This window comes from Homo sapiens, chromosome 2 (genome assembly GCF_000001405.40).
Source record: "Homo sapiens chromosome 2, GRCh38.p14 Primary Assembly".
Lineage (NCBI taxonomy): Eukaryota > Metazoa > Chordata > Mammalia > Primates > Hominidae > Homo > Homo sapiens.
The window spans coordinates 45,932,756-45,951,247 of record NC_000002.12 but is presented as its reverse complement, the minus strand read 5'-3'; the positions used below and the strand labels follow the sequence as shown (position 1 = coordinate 45,951,247).

Sequence of the window (18,492 nt, the reverse complement as noted above, 5' to 3'; positions counted from 1 at the left end):
TTACCAGAATCACCTGGGAAGCTAGTGAAGCCATAAACTCCAGAGCCACTCCCCAATTCCACTGGGTGAGGCTTGAAAATCTGTAACTTTAATCAACTCCCCAGGAAATCTTTTGCAGCCAGAGCAGCACCGGATAACACGATAGTGTTTGAACACTGGCTTTACAGTGATGGTTTGGGCACCGAGCATTAAGCTGTGGGCAGGATTGTAGTGCAATTCACAGTCATGACTGGGGATGTACAAGGACACTATTTGGAGCTTTTGTCTTGGTGGCCAAGTGAACATGATCTCAGATCGGGAGCCACCAAGTGGGCAGAGATAAGTCAAAGAAATGAGGCTGATAGTTCCAGGACTTAATTAGAGGAGCCAGTTCTGAGAGGTCCTCTAGGAAAGTTGGTCCTCTAGGAACACCAGTACTCCCTCTTGTCCACCAGCTGCTGTTGCTGTCCCCAAGCACTTCTCACCTTGAGCCAACGGAAGTGTGAACAACAGACACTTGGCAGACACAAGGGTGGATCTGCACCCCGCCCCTTGATATCCATCTCTCGCTTTGCCCTCTGCGTGCTTGAAGTAACCTTTTTCACTCCATGGCTTATTAGACACTTGGCCTGGGCATCATCAAACCAGGCATCTTGTAATCCCAGGGGAAACTGGGGCACAGTCGAGCATAAACCCTGGTAATGACCTTGAAGTTATTTTCTCCTCATCCAGCCAGAGTTCCTCATGCAAATGTGCTGTGACATCTTTATCTGCCATCCTCAAAATTAGAATGTGAGAAGCAGAAATAAATTAACTCAGTGTAACTGAAATTCTGCCAGAAAATTTCATTTAAAGCTTTTCATAAGAAGAAGTGGGAATAAAATGCATTCTCCTAAAGACCAGAGATTGGCTGATGTCCCATGATGGGGTAATAAATGGTCTGGTGTATAAAGCAGTGATCTGTTTTTACTCCTAGTGTTAAAACTAAGCATTCATTTTTGGTAAATATATTGATTTTCAGTAAAGGTAAAAACAACTTCACTGAAGACGGCTTCAGCCTTTGGTCAAAATTTCATTTTTGCAGAAAACTATTTTGTTATGTTCCCAGGATGCCAATTAGAGACATATTTTCTAAGCATTCATTTTAGGCAAGTGTTCTGCTTCATAATACTTAAAAAGAAATTAAAAACTTGAATAGATGTAATAACCATTCTCATCAGTAATTCAAAAATTAATGCATTTTCAACTTAAATCCTACTAGGTTTCTCACAGAAATTGAAAAGCTAATCCTAAAATTCACAGAAGAAAAATGGCCAAAAAAGCAACAAAAAATTTGATAAGAATAAAGAATATTTGGACTGAGTTTTCTTTAAAAAAAAAAACAACAAAGAATGAAGGCTTCGCTATCAAATATCAAAATTTCACAGTCAAAGCAATTAAAACATGGTGTATCAGCGGGACAGACCAAAGGGATAGAACAGAGATGAGAAACAGGAGGTTCAAGAGGGAAAACATGGACCGATAAATATGATCCTAGGTCCATGGTTGTCAAACTGGGGGAGAAAAAACTGTTAGACCCAGTGCAAAAAGCAAAACATAAAAACTTTTATTTAAAAAATAAACAGGAAAGCATTTGTGTCATTTAGATAGGGGAAGATTTATTAAACAGAAAGCAAAAAGCAAACACCAACTATGATCATTAAAATGTAAGACTTCTGCACAGAAGACACCATAAATAATGACAAGAAAAAGATACCGAGAAAAGACATTTGCAACATGTAGCAGACTCAGATTTAGTTCAATGTATATTAAAAACTCCTACCCTCAAGGAAAAAAAAAAAACAACAATCAAAAAAAAAAAAAAAACAAGCAAAATAAATGAACAATTCATCGGCCAATAGTCCTAAAAGAATATTTTAAAGGTAATCAGGGCAATACAAATTAAAACAGTGGGATGCCACATCGTATTTATTAGTTGACAAAAATTAAAATCTGACATTAAAGGGTTAGTAAGGATGTAAAGCAACTCTTGCATACTGCCGGTGGGGATGTGAGCTAATGTAACCATGTTGATAAGCAATCACACAATAGTCAGCTAAGCTGAGGATGTGCATATTCTACAACCCAGCAGGTCCTTCCTCAGTATACATGTATATATCTTAGAGAGATTTGCACACTTATACCCAAGGAGACACATGCAACGATGTTCACTAGAACACTGTTTGTGGTCATAAAAAACTGAAAACAACTTAAATGTCTGCTAACAAATGAATGGGTAAAAACTGTGATACTGTATTGTCATTCGAGGAATAGCATAGAGAATTAAAATGAATGAACCAGATCTATATCACAGATAAATCTATAAAATTATGTTCCATTTAAAAAGCAAGTTACAAAACAATGTGTACAGTATACCATTTATATAAAGTAAAATTCACAAAACAAACATATATTGGCAGTCTTGTATATATTTTTTTAAGTGTTCACATATGAATGAGCTAAACACCAACTTCAGCCCAGGGGTTATCTCTGGGCAGACAGAAAGAGCAGGAATCCCCCAACAAGGAGACTTGAACTGACTCTGATGTTTTATTTCGTCAAGAAAGCAAGTGAAAAAAAAATTTTTTTAAGAGACAAGGTCTCACTCTGTCACCCAGGCTAGAGTGCAGTGCTGCTGGCATAGCTCATTGCAGCCTCGAGCTCCTGGGCTCAAGCAATCCTCCCACCTCAGCCTCTTGAGTAGCTGGGACTACAGGCATACACCACCATGCCAGCTAATTTTTAAATATTTTTTAGAGACAGGGTCTCAGTGTGTTGCCCAGGCTGCTCTTGAACTCCTGCCCTCAAGCGATCATCCCACCTTGGCCTCCCCAAGTACTAGGATTACAGGCATGAGCCACTGCACGCAGCCCGAATACAAAATTTTTATATTTGCTAACTATGGTTTATTAGGTTGTCACTAAATCATTCTTGCTTTTTCATCTATATTGGAAATATTTCCAATGTTTTTAAAGGCTCTGTATGTCTATGTGCCAATGAGCATTTGTTTTATTTTGCATGTGCCACGTTATGGGTATAGCAAGGAGACTTAACCCCAGTGCATTGAATTTGAAGATGTAACATGAACACTAATAAGTGATTGTTCTGCACAGTACAACTTTGAAACAGATGCAATTCACAAATTGTTCTCCAGTTATCAGCCAGTGCCTACCACTTAGATATAAGACATTCACGTAGGTGAGCAATGCCTGAACATGGTCTAGGATGGGGTGGCAGGTCAGTCTTATTACTGTACAAAAACAACACTGCGGACTTCACATATACGTAGTTCTCTAACTTCCTCCTGTTTCTCGTCATTTTTACAACTCCAAACTTTATTAAGTACAATAGGTTATAAAAGAAATATACACTTTAGAGCAAGAAATTTTGACTCGATAGTCCCACTTCAAAGAAAATCCTAAAGAAACGTTTTAATTCTACAGAAATGCTGTTTGTAGTAACAACCATCACCACAAGAAGTCTGGAAGCCTAAGTGCCTATCAATTGGAAAATAATTAAGCAAAATATCAAACTGACAGAATTATAAGGACTATAGACAACTGAAAACAGCACACTGTGACTGTAACCACACAAAAAGATGTCTCCAAGCTGCCAAAGATCAGATGATGATATGCAAAAGTTCAAATAGCTGTGTTAGTATTGTTATTAGGTTATTTTAGTATTATTTTATTTTAATATTGTTATTTTAGTTTGCATAATTTGTCTTAAGTAACAGTTTGAGATATAATTCACATACTATACAATTCACCTGTTGAAAGTATACCATCACTGGTTTTGTATATATTCTGTCATGTAATCATCCCTACAGTCAATTTTAGAACATTTTCATCCCCCGCAAACAGAAGTTCCACACCCTTTACCAGGCATCCCTCATTCACGCCTGCCTCTCTCCCCCACCCCCTGGCTCCTGGCAATCACTAATTTACTTTATCTCTATGGATGTTCCTATTTTGGACATATCACAAATAGAATCATACAATATGTGGTCTTTTGCAACTGGCATCTTTCACTCAGCATAGTGATTAAGGTTCATCCATATTGTAGCATGTCTCAGACTTCATTTCTTTTTTATTTCTGAATAACATTCGATTGCACAGATATACCACACTTTAGGTGGTACTGTTTTGCAATAACAATAAACACACCAGGTGATGGAGAGAGGTTGAGAGAGTTTTCTGTCTAGCCTATTCTGATGTGAATTCCTTTAGAGGGTGCTGAAAGATGAGAAGCTGAATATCTCATAGAGTCTAGGTCTACTGGGTTTGCTGACATCAGTCAGCAGTTCTTGGAGCTCCTGGCTGTGGCAAGCCCACCCAAGGAGACTTTACATATGCACAGTTAATAGGAGTTGACCCCTCTAAGGCGGAGTGATAGCTAAGGCTTGCACTGGTGCAGCATCCTGAACTGTTCCAGAACATGGTCACACCCATGTTTATTGATACTTTCTTTCCACCAAAATCCCATGGGGCAGGCAGGGGAGCTATTAACCCAGCATGTCATATTGGTACCTTTATCACAACCTGGTTCCTCTGGCTTTTAATTCACCTCCTCCTCCATGGAACTCCACCAAAAACTTCCTATAACTGGCTATTTCCCAGAGCACCAGCATGGATTTCACCAAGATTAGAGGCAATGAGCTGGCAGGGGGATTCTCACCATCGTTGACCTTGTTTGAACAAGAGCTGGAAGGCTGATGTCTTTGGGATTAGACAGTTCTGTTTTCTAGGCCTTTGCATTCTCTCCCATCAAATAGACAGATGTTTCCATTGTACCTGCTTCCCCTGTAAGCCCTGGGAAGAGCTGAGCCAGCACATCCCAAGGTTCTGACTTGGGTCATTTATAAACCGTATCATAAATTTTAAATGGAAAGTAGATTCAAGTGAAGAGAGCCAGAAAAAAAATGGAAAAGCAAATAGGCCAAATGGCCTCACTGCACTGTTAGTCATAGATGACCGGGCATAACTCACAAACCACCACAATCTTATCAAGAGTCCTGTGGTCTCAGAACCCAGTTGTGGGCAGGGATTTAAGGGATGCAGGGCTCCTCCTCATTCCTTTACAAAGTGGTTCTGCAAACTCTGGCCACCTTGGTTGGTATCTGGCCAACATCCTACGCCCTGGGAGGGCATGTGCCACATTCATAACCAATCCTGTCCAGAGCTATTAACAGTAGCCCTAGTCATTAATGAACACAAAACAACTTGTACATGCAGAGCACTGCACTGAATCCACCCCATTTTTTGGTTTATCATCACTACCATTCAACCATGGCTTCACACATAGGGATAAGTGGCCATTCATGTGGTGTCTTTTAAGGAGATAGAGAAGTCCTTCAAATGGTCTTCCCCCATCAGTACAGGACATTCCACCATTAACAAGTCATTCTTTTCTGTCAAGGGGTTGTATAAAGACAGACAGCCCTGGCTTTGCCAGATGCCTGTGTTCTAATCTGGCCCCCCACCAGTGGAGCACAGTTATGCAGCATCTCTTTAAAACTTCTCTGAGGAAGGGGTAATAAGAGTACCTGCCTTGCAGGGGACTGTGAGGGTTGAACGTGATAGCTCATGGAAAGCACTTAGTATGGTGCCTGGTACATAGCATGTGCTCAACCAGTGACGGCTGTGGTTGTGGTGTAGCCTGGCTGATATAGTTTCGACGTTTGTCCTCTCCAAATCTGATGTTGAAGTGTAATCCCCAATGTTGGAGGTGGGACCTGGTGGGAGGTGTTTGAGTCACAGGGCGGATCCCTCATGAATGGCTTGGGGCTGTCCTGATAACAAGAGTTCTTACTCTGAGTTCACATGAGATCCAGTTGTTTGACAGAGTATGACACCTCCCCGCTCTTGCTTCAGCTCTCGCCATGTGACATGCTGGCTTCCCCTTCACCGTCTGCCATGATCGTAAGCTTCCTGAGGCCCTCACCAGAAGCCAAGCAGATGTTGGTGCCATGCTTGTACAGCCTGCAGAACTGTGAGCCAATTAAACCTCTTTTCTTTATAAATTACCCGGCCTCAATAATTCCTTTATAGCAAGGCAAGAATGGACTCACACAGCAGCCTTCCCCAGGTGTTCCTCTGAAACTGAAATCCTCACAGAACACATCTTACTCTTAATGCATTGGTGTGGCCATCGTTTCCCTGCCTAATGCGAGAAAGTTTTGGCAATGGAAGGCTCAGGAAGGGGGGAAGTTGAAAGAGGAACAAGAAGTGGAAGAAGCATTACTGGAAAGGAAAAGGGCAGGGATAGGGAAGGCTGAGGGCACAAAAACAGGTGTCCCCACTCTACCTAGGGCCACCTCTGTATCCATTTGCAAAATGGTTTCAAAGGGAATCCGCCAACCTAAATGTCCAAAGATTTATAAGTGAAGTCACTTGAGGTTTTTGTGTTTTTGTTTTTAAATTGAGGATTGCCCAGCACAGTGGCTCATGCCTGTAATCCCAGCACTTTGGGAGGCCAAGGTGGATGGATCGCTTGAGCCCAGGACTTCGAGACTAGCCTAGGCAACATGGCAAAATCCTGTCTCTACAAAAAAAAAAAAAAAAAAAAAAAAAAATTAGCCGGGTATGGTGGCACGCACCTGTAGTCCCGGCTACTTGGGAGACTGAGGCGGGAGTATCATTCGAGCCTGGGAGGCTGCGGTTGCAGTGAGCTGAGATCACATCACTGTACTCCAGCCTGGGCGACAGAGCAAGACCCTGTCTCAAAAAACTAAATACATAAAAATAAATTGAGGACGAATTTACATAAAGTAAAACGTACAGATCTTAAGTTTACGAGTCAATAAGTTTTGAAAACTGTATACCAGCATAGCCATCACTCCAGTCTGAGCTGTGCCTTAGATACTATACTGGCTCAACAGCATTTCCTGTAGAGCTCATGCATAAGGAATGCCTGCTGCTGGAGAGACGCTGAGGCTTTTCCTACAGCCCTGGAACCCTGAGGCACCCCACAATATGGGGAACAAAAGGAGCATCAAAAAGTCCGAATGGAGCAAATGGACAGCAGTCAAAGCAGAATGGAGGGAAGAAATGAGTCACCAACGAAGTGATTCGGGCCTAAAAGGCTTTGGGATCAATGAATCTAGTCAAGAATATGCATAGAATGGCCCTGCAGGGTTGCCAACATGGTTGAGTCCTGGAATAGATTCATAATACCTATATTCTTTCCACATCTGACTCAGCCATCGCCCCCACCATCTATCTGCCTTTGAACGAATCACATCACAGCTCAATGCCTCAGTTTCCAAAACTGTAAAACCACGTGAGTGGACCAAACACTCTGTGCCTTTTCTAGCTTGAACAACTTAAACAATCCTGCGTTGATGATCTAGACTGGGCAGTTTCACTGCGCGGTCACTCCAAATTCACCTTTGTTTACTTAACACAGACACAGCCTCCCCTGCTGCTGTCTGGTGCATTCTGCAAACTGGGAACTCTCCTGACAAAGGGGACCCAGAAAGCAGGAGAGGAGGCTTGGTTTCTGCTAAGACGTGTAACTTAGCTGACATTTGTTATATCCTGGCGTCTGGTGAGAACTTTATATTCTGTGTCCTCCTCAAAGGCCTCTGAGACAGTGGAACTGGAAAACATTTAAGACAGAAAAAAAAAGGCTCTGGAAAGAAGGAATTCTGGCATGTTTCTGGCATGTGTAACCTCAACCATTTTGAGTCTTTGTGGGAGAAAAATAGTTAATCTTGTAAAACTAAATTACAACTAACCTGCAAGATCAAGTCCAAATGTTAGCGCCCCCTGGCAGACCTTCCTAAGCCCCGGCTAGAGGGGCTCACAGTGAGTTCCGTGGCCCTCTGCCCTATCCCTCTTTTGGCAGATGTACTCTGAGCTATAGGACCCACGTGCAACTCCTATGTGCTGGCTTAGACGCTATGGTTCTAAACTTTCATAGACTGGGTAACTGCTTTGCACATGATGACTGCGAAATCATTTTTTAAATAAAGGAATAAATGAATGTTAGTCTGCTTTGGAGTATATTTAATTGTGTCCTTTAACAAAGGAATTTCTTTTCTACAATATTCAAAAGCAGAAAATTACCTAAAATGAGCTCTTAAAGCCTCCTGAATCTTCACAGCTGAATCCTAGCGCCGAGATACAATCATCCTCTTTGGCTAAAATGATTCATCAATTTACAAAATGCCATAAAAGTAGAAATATTATGTGAAATAAATGGGAATTATGATCACATGTATTTGTGCAACACTTCTAAAGTATATTAAGAACAGCAGCAGCTAACTTCTGGGGAGTGGAGAATAAGAGGTTGGGGGGACAACTTTTCTTTTATACTTTTAAAGCACTGTTACTGTTAAATGTTTTACTGTAAGCATATTTCCACTGATGTTTAATTAAAAATGAAGTTTACAGAAAATTTTGATATATATACTCATTTAGTTACATGTGTACTATAATAAACATAATGCATTATAATTCATTTTATTGTTGAAAAAAACTGAATCTCAAGAAGATTAAGTGACTTTTTCCAAGAGTTAATCGCAGAATCATAAAACAAAGCGTGCTTACACAACAAAGCACAGGAAAGAGAGGAATTTGTATTCCATTCGTGTTCTAATCCTTCCTGCGGGGACCTCGTCATTAGACCAACAGTAATTTACTGAGTGCACACCCTACGCCATCCCCTGCTGTTCCCCTCATGAGAGCCACAGGGACCTTTCACATCACAACGGCTGCACGTTCCTCATATATGACATGTCACACATAATATGACAACATTAATTATAATAACATTTACAAGAGACTTGCTCTTTTATATCCTCTCAATGGATTTCAGGGAGGAACATACTGCCTATATGATTTTTTTCTCACTTGCACAATTTGGAAGTCATCAGCCACATGATGTCATTCTCCTAACCCACATGTAAACTTTGAGGCATTTCAGGGTGCACCCAGATAAGCATTGTCTTTGGCCAGAAACGCTTCTCTAATTGGTGTTTTTGGACCTTAACTAGCACAACGATTCAGCCTGTCAACATGTAACAGGTAGAATTAGAATCAATGTCTTATAGCAACTGCCTCAGATCAACATGAGACGTAAATGTTTCAAAGCCTGGCTCCCATACATCTCTAAGCAAGAGTGCTCACATTCCATGGACCATGCCAGAGGTGCCGTACTTCAAACTAACAAATTCATAACAGCAATTAGGTTTGGTTTCTAAGCATGTGCTTTGACAGCTCTTTGAAAGATGGAGCCAACTCAGAAAAAAACTTCAGCTACCTGCAGCAGCCTCTTGCTTGATTCTCCTGTTTTAATCAGGGTAGAAGAGGTAAAACTCTCCTCCAGCTAGTGTATTTTATCCCAATAAAGAACCTCCCCCTCCCCCATAATTAATGAATCTATGACCTCCTAGACAGAACTAGCCAGGGAAGGCTGTCATGTAATCAGACCACTCTGGGACTCCAGTGGACCGTAGAGGTTATCTAGGCCCTAACTTCAAGTCCCTCCCAGGCTCTTCCAGTGCATGCTTGAATTGCTCAGTGACCCAGGCACCACTCAATTTACAAAAAGCATCTTTAGCTCAGCAGGTCCTCAGTCCCTCAACAGATGGAATTGTGCTGACTGAATCTCCCCTCCCCTTTGTTAATTCAACTGCCCATTCTTCAAGGTTCCGTTGAAGTTCTGTGTCTTCCTCAAAGCCCACCCCTTCACGGCCCTGCTTTCTCTGAGCTGCAGAGTCTAACGCTTTATAAACATCCGTCCGTGCCTGGTTTGATGTAGGTCTGTATGATCTCCCATTCCAAAGAGTAATAAGTTTCTTAAGGCTGGAGGCCACGTCTTTTCCTCTCACCTGCCCTCAGATCACCTAATCTATAGATGAATATACCAATGATGTCCATCCAATATTTGTTGAACATGCAGAAAATGCCCAGATCACTAAGCTCTGGTCACTGCACATGCACCACATGCTGGCTTCTTGAGGTCTGGGTCTGATCTCAGCCACTAGAATGGGTTAAATCCATGAGCAAGTGGCCACATGAGTGCTTCTTCAAGGGATTAACTAGGCTACTGTATTGCTTTCAGTTCCCAGGAGCATGTGGCCCTCTTTCGGTTAGTATATAAGTCATTTGTTCAGTAGGGAATAGGTGCCTATCATCTTTTTTTTTTTTTTTTTTTTTTAGGATGAAGTCTCACTCTGTCACCCAGGCTGGAGTGCAGTGGCATGATCTTGGCTCACTGCAATCTCCACCTCCCAGGCTCAAGCGAGTCTCCTGCCTCAGCCTCCCAAGTAGCTGGGATTACAGGCACCTGTCACCATGCCTGGCTAATTTTTTTTTTTTGTATTTTTAATAGAGATGGGGTTTCACCATGTTGGCCAGGCTGGTTTTGAACTCCTGACCTCAAGTGATCTGCCTGCTTTGGCTTCCCAAAGTGCTAGGATTACAGGCATGAGCCACCACGCCCGGCCAGGTGCCTATCAACTTTTTAATTCTTGTAAGTTATTAAGCAAAAGGTATATGTATGTGTTTGAAAGCATGTGTGGGAGTGAAAGCATGTGTGACATGCATGCGGTACGTGAGAGTGAACACTTGTGAGCGCAAGAGTGTGCGCTGTGTGAACAGAGTGTATGTGTGGACCAGTGAATGTACCTGGCCCTGGATACAAGTCATCATCTTCTTCTTGCTCCAATTAACGTGTTCTCTGCTTCTTCCATTTCTTTGACTGACTTGGGCCTACTAAGCCAGACGTCTCCAAATATTTTTGACTGCATATACCAGCAACAACATTTTGAAATGTTTTCATATAAATTATAAACACATACTCTGGCCATCCATACATCAAATATTAAAGCTAAATCATGTTCTTGCTTCATAGGTAAGAAAATGAATACAGATGGAAGGTCTGTTTCCCAAATCCCAGTAGCTCATCTTGCCTACTCTGGGCACTGTGTCCAAATTCCACTTTGCAGGCCACTCCTTGAAGCCACAGCTACCCCTAATCTGGCCTCTCACCAGACTCCTAGACACACATCTTGCTGAGGACTGGTGCCAGATTACCTGAAGCAAATGTCAGGTGATGAACTGGAAAAGAGGTCTGAGGGAAGCTTCCAATTTGCATTGCTGATGCCAATTTCAGGAACCAGTAAGTGAGCGCAAAAAAGAAGAAGGCAGGAAGACGCAGAGACAAGTTCTAAAACATCAGGTCAACTAAGCAAGGAGACTCTCTGAGGCTGTACTGGAAGCAGGGGAGAATGTTCATATTTCTGAATGCACTTGCTGGCAATTCACTGCCAGCCCAGTATGGTGAGGGGCTGGGTTACACCCACATCTCAGAAATGACGGCAGACTCCCAAAACAATTTACAGCAAGCATGCCTTAAAAGTGCATTAGCGGGCCAGGCATGGTGGCTCACGCCTGTAATCCCAGCACTTTGGGAGGCCAAGGCAGGCAGATCATGAGGTCAAGAGATCAAGACCATCCTGGTCAACATGATAAAACCTCGTCTCTACTAAAAATACGAAAATTAGCTGGGCCTGGTGGCACGCACCTGTAGTCCCAGCTACTTAGGAGGCTGAGGCAGGAGAATCACTTGAACCCAGGAGGCGGAGGTTGCAGTGAGCTGAGATTGCGCCACTGCACTCCAGCCTAGCGATAGAGTGAGACGCCTTCTCAAAAAAAAAAAAGTGCATTAACTAACTGCCATTGGAATCACTTGCTGCATTACATTTTCTCTTAGTGACTTGGGGTTGAAATGTCTCTTTGAAAGTCTTAGTAACCTCGACAAAGGAAGGTGCCCAGATGCTACTCTACAGGAGAATACGGTATGAAATGATGAAAGAGCAACATGCGGAAGGAAGGGCAGCTCCAAGGCCCAACTGCCTGACAGTAAGACATCAGGGAATGAAGTGGTGAACACAGGGGAAGGTGGCAGTGCTGGCTTTAGACAAGCCCATCTCTTGTCACTATTGGGGTGCTACCAAAATAAATGCCTAAGGTCTTCAATAACAGCACTTGGCACTTGTATCAAATTTCTTTCCCGAAACACACCCATATCCCTTGTCTTATTGAAGCCTCCAAGTGACTCTGTGAGTGAGGGCATAATGTATAATGTTTGGTTTTGGTTTTATATTTTCCGGGAGAAGAAACAACGGGGAGATTTATAGCCCGGCACCTCCTCCACCCTGGCAGGGTGCTGTGGGCTGGATTTCACTGGGACAGCAGGGTTGGATGAGGTCAGAGCCAGCGTGGAATTAGCCTACTGCGCTGGATTCCTGAGTGTTGACTCAGCCGCAAGACTCCAGAGGGCAGAGCGCTGAATGTGCTAGAAAGAGTTACGAATGAGGTGCCCACCATGTGTAACTGGGTGAGAACACCCAGCCTCTGCCCTCAGGGGTTTGCAATCTAATACATCAGGAATAGGGCCAATGTTTGAGAGAACTGTAGATGAGTGAGAAAGAAAACTGGCACGACTTTGTAAATATAAGCTTTCTCAATTTAAGCAAACTTGCACATTTGTTTACTTTGTTCTAAGAGTTGCTGAATAAGGCATGATACCATGAGTTTATGGTCAAACAGCCAGGGAAAGGCAGCATCTAGGCAAAAGAGAAGGGACCCATAAGTTAGGAAAGAATGCAAATTGGAGGCCAGGAAAAGTTTGCTAACTGAATAAATAGCTGCTGCAAGGCTTGATGGGGGTTTGAGGGGTGGGCGCTGAAATGTTGAAAGGGACACAACAGGTCAATCACAGACACAAGGTGGAAAATGCAGGGATATCTATAGAGTGGGTAGGGAGGATGTAGGTTCCAAGTCACTAAGGATAGTCCTAGATTTTGCCTGTTTTCTTAGAGTAATTATGTATAGTGTCACTTATCATTCTCAACTGTGTCCTTTCTTGGAGGATAAATGATATAGTCACCCTAGTTCTCCAAAACTCACAAGATGCATTGAATTGCCAGATAGCCCCCCTCCAGCCAAGCCATCTACACCAGCTTCTATATTTGCACCACCTCTCCAAGGGGCTAAATACCACCTCCAAGAGACTAAATACCACCCCCATCAGCCCTGCCCTGAGGCTAAGAGAGCAGATGGTTCTATGTGGGTGTGAACAGTCTTTAATTCTTCATTTCTGGGCTAACACTGGCTCCTGAGAATCCAAGAGGAACAGAGGGAGGAGAACAAGAAGAGGCCGAAGGGGAAGGGTCGGGACCCTCTGAGTGACATTAGTGGTGCGTAACGTAAAGGCTACTCTCACTGTAGAGAAGCCAGCATGGCAGCAAGGAGGGCGAATGGGCCTTGGGTCCAGCAAGACCTGCAGTCTGCTCCCAGATCCCCACAGTCATTGCTGAGCCTCAGTTTCCTCACCTCTTTAAAGAAAAGTGGGGTGGGGGAGGATAATATCTACCTTCCAGAGTTGGAGTGACAGAATGTAATCATTATCAAGTACCAGGTACACAGTAGGCGTTCGATAATGGCAGCTTTTGTTGGAACGATGATATATACCTACAAGTTTTCTTTCTTTTTTTTTTTCTTTGAGACGGAGTCTCACTTTGTCACCCAGGCTGGAGTGCAGTGGTATGATCTCGGCTCACTACAAGCTCCACCTCCTGGGTTCACACCATTTTCCTGCCTCAGCCTCCCGAGTAGCTGGGACTACAGGTGCCCGCCACCAGGCCTGGCTAATTTTTTTTTGTATTTTTAGTGGAGATGGGGTTTCACCGTATTAGCCAGGATGGTCTTCATCTCCTGACCTCGTGATCCGCGCGCCTGAGCCTCCCAAAGTGCTGGGATTACAGGCGTGAGCCACCACGTGTGGCCATACCTATGAGTTTTCTTAAAACCAAATTGTCAAAAATGTGGGGCCTACCAGGTGTTAGCCTCCATCCCATAACATCGTGGCTCAGGTCACCCTCAGAAGGAGACACAGGGAGTCCTAAGTGTATTCTGGGAGTGACCTCTGTGGCAGACCAAGGGACACAGCTATGGCCGGGACACCAACAGCTTCTGCTATAATCTCCCCAATTTTTTTTTATTTAAGTGCAATTATTTTTATTTAAGTACAATTATAAAACTATAAAGGGAACATTTTTAGAGGAGTAATAAAAACCAGATGGACATGGAATCTTTTCTTCCCAGCCAAAGGGGATCATCTTGCTCATCCCCTGGGAGCACTCTTCTTTCATGATCACTGTCCCAGGAGCCCACAAAAGGTCCAAGCATCTATGGAACTTAAAATACAAGTACTGGAAGGCTTGTGTCTGTACCAGGCTCTGGTTCTGATCCTGGAAATTCAATGTCACAGTCTGAACAGGTGTGCCTGCTGATTGATTATAGCCTGAAAGTACAAGAGGGACAGGCAGAGCTTTTGTCCCTGCCCCTTTTAATAAGAACACATACCTGCGGTAGGTTGTGGATTGGAGGAAGTCTCTCAGAGCCGGGAGGAGACATTCCCTACACCAGTGGAAAATCTTTGGGTCCTCCAAAATCACACTTCTTTAACTCAAGTTAAATGAGGCCTTAAGGCGCTTAACTGTTAAGAAATAATAACAAGAAAAATCAAAGATTACGCAAAAAGAGGGCTGCAGGGGCTGCAGGCTGTCCTTAGGGCATCCTCCGGCCTTGGTGGGTAAGGTTAGGAAAACCTGGCTGCATTTTCCAAACCCTTCCACCAGAGCCACACGGGGGCACACTAGTCAATGTTTTGGATGTCGGGCCTCCCGCTGGCTTCCTCTCGGTAAAGAAACCTGGAGGAGGAGGACAGTGAGGGCAGAGGCGCTACTGGATGACTCCTTGCTTGGCCCACGGCCACCAAGCCAGTGACTTAGGCAGATTGTCCTTGAGTGATTCAAAACCACGTGGGTGCTGGCCCAAAGGTTTCCCCTTACTTTCTAAGCATGTTCCCAGCATGGCTGGGGCACGGGTTCCTGAGCTATTACTCAGGAGAGCAGGGAAAAGAATTGAGTGAATAAATGGAAGGTCTAATAACCTCTTAACCTGATACCAGGAAGGCAAGTGAGTAACCCCCAAGGGGTGCTTGGGGGCACAGCAGGCAGGGGTGGGCAGGGTAATAGCTCATTCTTCAGTGGGTCGCCATAGCATCCTTGGCGTGACCAGAGTGCTGGCCCTCAGTGCCTGCCCTCCTAGGGTGAAGGATCAGCCTCAAAGGCAGGGCAGCAGGCTGGCTCCTAACAGAGCCTCTTGACAGAGGGTCTCCTACGAGCACACACTGCTGCCTCACCAATAGACATGGGAACCCCAGGGGACAGACCAGGGACCAAACCCCAGCCATCACCAGGCACTGCAAGGCGCCAGCCAGCCTGCACTCCAGGACTCCAGTGTGCCTGCTTTCCAGAGCACAATGGGTCCAGGTGCACACAGACACAGCAGACAAACCAGAAGAGAAGGCATCTAAGTCACCACCTTCTATCAAGAATTCAGCTAAGCTGCGATTTTTTTTTTTTTTTTTGAGACAGTCTCACTTTGTCGTGTGGGCTGGAGTGCGGTGGCATGATCTTGGCTCACTGCAACCTCTGCCTCCTGGGTTCAAGCAATTCTTCTGCCTCAGCATCCTGAATAGCTGGGATTACCGGCACGTCACAATGCCCAGCTGATTTTTGTATTTTTAGTAGAGATGGGGTTTCACCATGATGGACAGGCTAGTCTGGAACTCCTGGCCTCAAGTGATCCACCTGCCTTGGCCTCCCAAAGTGCTGGGATTATAGGCGTGAGCCACCGTGCCCAACCCTAAGCTGCAATTTTATATGAAGACCTTGGAAAAGAAAAACACTTTTGTTTATAAACATGGTATAGTATGCAAATTTTAAAGTATTAATATTTTTTAGCTAAAACAGTACTTCAAAAGTTCTTAGCTTGAGGCCGGCTCTGAGAGGAGGGGGTTTATTTTCTTCTGCCCCACTTATCTTTGGTGAATGGCAGAATGTTTGTTTAATAAAAAGTCAGTAAAGCAGAGAATCATGCAAAGAAAAGATGTATGTACTTTAAGTATTTTAACTAACAATATTCAAACTGAAAATATTGAAAAACAAATATATGTACTCACTTGCCAATAACAGAAGGCCAATTTCTTTAAGGTATGGTCCCCCTCATCATCTCTTACAGACAAACATTATCTATGATTTCCATTTCCATTTTCTATGTGTGTGTGTGTGTGTGTGTGTGTGAGAGAGAGAGTGAGTGTCTCGCTTTGCTGCCCAGGCTGGAGTGCAGTAGTATGATCATGGCTCACTGCAGCCTCAACCTCCCACGATCAAGCAATGCTCCTGCCTCAGCCTCACAAGTAGCTGGGACTACAGGCACATGCCACCATGCCTGGCTAATTTAAATTTTTTTTTTTTTTTTGTAGAGACATGGTCTCTCCATGTTGCCCACGCTGGTCTTGACTCCTGGGCTCAAGCAATCCTACTGCCTCAACCTCCCAAAGTATTCAGATTATAAGTGTGAGCCACCATGCCCAGCCCAATTGTGGTTTCTTTCTAGTGGAGCAAAAATTAAAGATACTTGTGAAGTAATGTGAATTTGGAATCTTTTTAGAGCTTTATTATTTTTCTCACACAATTTAGCAGTAATTTTTTTTTTTTTTGAGGCAGAGTCTCGCTTTATCACCCAGGCTGGATTGCAGTGGTGTGATCTCGGCTCACTGCAGCCTCCGCCTTGTGGCTTCAAGTGATTTTCCCGCCTCAGCCTCCCAAGTAGCTGGAATTACAGGCATGTGCCACCACGTCTGGCTAATTTTTGTATTTTTAGTAGAGATGGGGTTTTACTATGTTGACCAGGCTGGTCTCAAACTCCTGACCTCAAGTGACCTGCTCGCCTCAGCCTCCCAAAGTGCTGGGATTACAGGCATGAGTGACCATGCCTGGCCAACAGTAATTTTATAGGAAATTTATCTTTGGCTTTTTCCGTCACATTCAACTTAGTCTTAATAGAAACTTTTTTTCACACTCATCTCAGTTTAAATAAGATTTCATTACAATTATTTATTACAATAAGAACAAATACAAGTGGCTTTTGATAAACACACAACTACTGGTGGGGACAGAAGTGTACAGTGGGAGTACGGCATAAGCTGCTCCACTATGGCTGTGAGCTTTCAAGTGTGCCCTGAGCGTGTGTCAGAGAGAATGGGAGACAGAGTTAATTTGGCAAGTCGGTGACAGCAGAGGTCAGTTAGGAGACTACCTCTGGAACTTTGGTGGAAATCTCTGAAAAGTCACAGACTCAGTGTTTATAATATGGACAAATTCACTGGATAAAATTCACATGCAACTCTTTAGAAAAACATGATGCCTGAAGCCAGGAGTACCTGCACTTATGTTTGCTTCCACTAGTCCCCCGACCCTGTTACCAAGTTAACATGATTTTACTACAGTGCTGCCCAAATCTTATGATTGTGCTATAAGCAGCCTAGTTCCCCTAGGGTCAAAATAACCACTCCCAGTTAAAAAGGCAGGCATGCTGGGTGCGGTGGCTCACGCCTGTAATCCCAGCACCTTGGGAGGCCGAGGCGGGCGGATCACGAGGTCAGGAGATCGAGACCATCCTGGCTAATATGGTGAAACCCCGTCTCCACTAAAAACACAAAAAAAAATTAACTGTGCCTGGTGGTGGGCACCTGTAGTCCCAGCTACTCGGGAGGCTGAGGCAGGAGAATGGCGTGAACCCGGGAGGTGGAGCTTGCAGTGAGCCGAGATCGCGCCACTGCACTCCAGCCTGGGCGGCAGAGCGAGACTCAGTCTCAAAAAAAAAAAAAAAAAAAAAAAAAAAGCAGGCATATGAGGTGAAAGGTAAAACAAAACTTTTGGAAGAAGTCATAGGTGAACATCCTTAAGACATTCAGGTAGGCAGCCTGTTCTTGAATGGAATACGAAAAGGTCAAACCATAAAGAAAATAACTGATAAATTGATACATTCCTCAGGGACTTCTGTTCATCAAAAGATCCTCTTAAGGAACTACAAGGTAAGCCACAGACAAGAAGGTACTTGCAATTCATATACTCAACAGAGACTCATATCCAATATCTATGAAGACCTTCTAAAAATCATCTTTTTTAAAGCAGACAACCCAATAGAAAAATGGGCAAAAGACTTGTGTAGGCACTTCTAAGAGAGGATACCCAAATAGATGATGCACATATAAAAAGGCACTCAAGAGCAATGCAAAGACATCAGGGAAATGCAAATTAAAATCAGAATAAAATCAAAGAATGGTGGATAAACAGAATGTGGTATATATTATAGATATAATGGAATACTATTCAGACTTAAGAAGAAATTCTAACACTTGCTACAACATGGGATGAGCCTTGAAGACATTGAGCTAGGTGAAATAAGCCAGTCATAAAAAGAAATACTGCCCAATTCCACTTATATGAAGTATGCAGAGTAGTCAAAATTCATGGAGACAAAGTAGCATGACGATTGCCCGGGGCTGGGGGGAGTAGAGAGTTAGTGTTTCGTGGGTACGGAATTTCAA

The 18,492-nt window shown here is 43.6% G+C and overlaps 1 protein-coding gene across 20 annotated transcripts in view, besides 1 other annotated feature; it reads right to left on the bottom strand.

Moving 5' to 3' along the window:
- Nucleotides 1-18,492, bottom strand: part of PRKCE (protein kinase C epsilon) — a 536,712-nt gene that overhangs the window by 236,743 nt on the left and 281,477 nt on the right. The window contains exon 1 of one of the 20 annotated variants that reach the window (XM_011532981.4): nucleotides 14,397-14,529. The exons of the other annotated variants lie outside the window; for them this stretch is intronic. The gene's annotated coding sequence lies outside the window, so the exon portion shown is untranslated. Of the gene's footprint in view, nucleotides 1-14,396; nucleotides 14,530-18,492 lie in introns of those variants that run through there. 20 annotated transcript variants of the gene reach the window in all.
- Nucleotides 14,778-15,087: an enhancer, noted in NCBI's record as "active region_15698". NCBI's record gives its function as "activates an Ori minimal core promoter by ATAC-STARR-seq in GM12878 lymphoblastoid cells {active_cell/tissue: GM12878}" and the evidence as "EXISTENCE:reporter gene assay evidence [ECO:0000049][PMID:35858748]".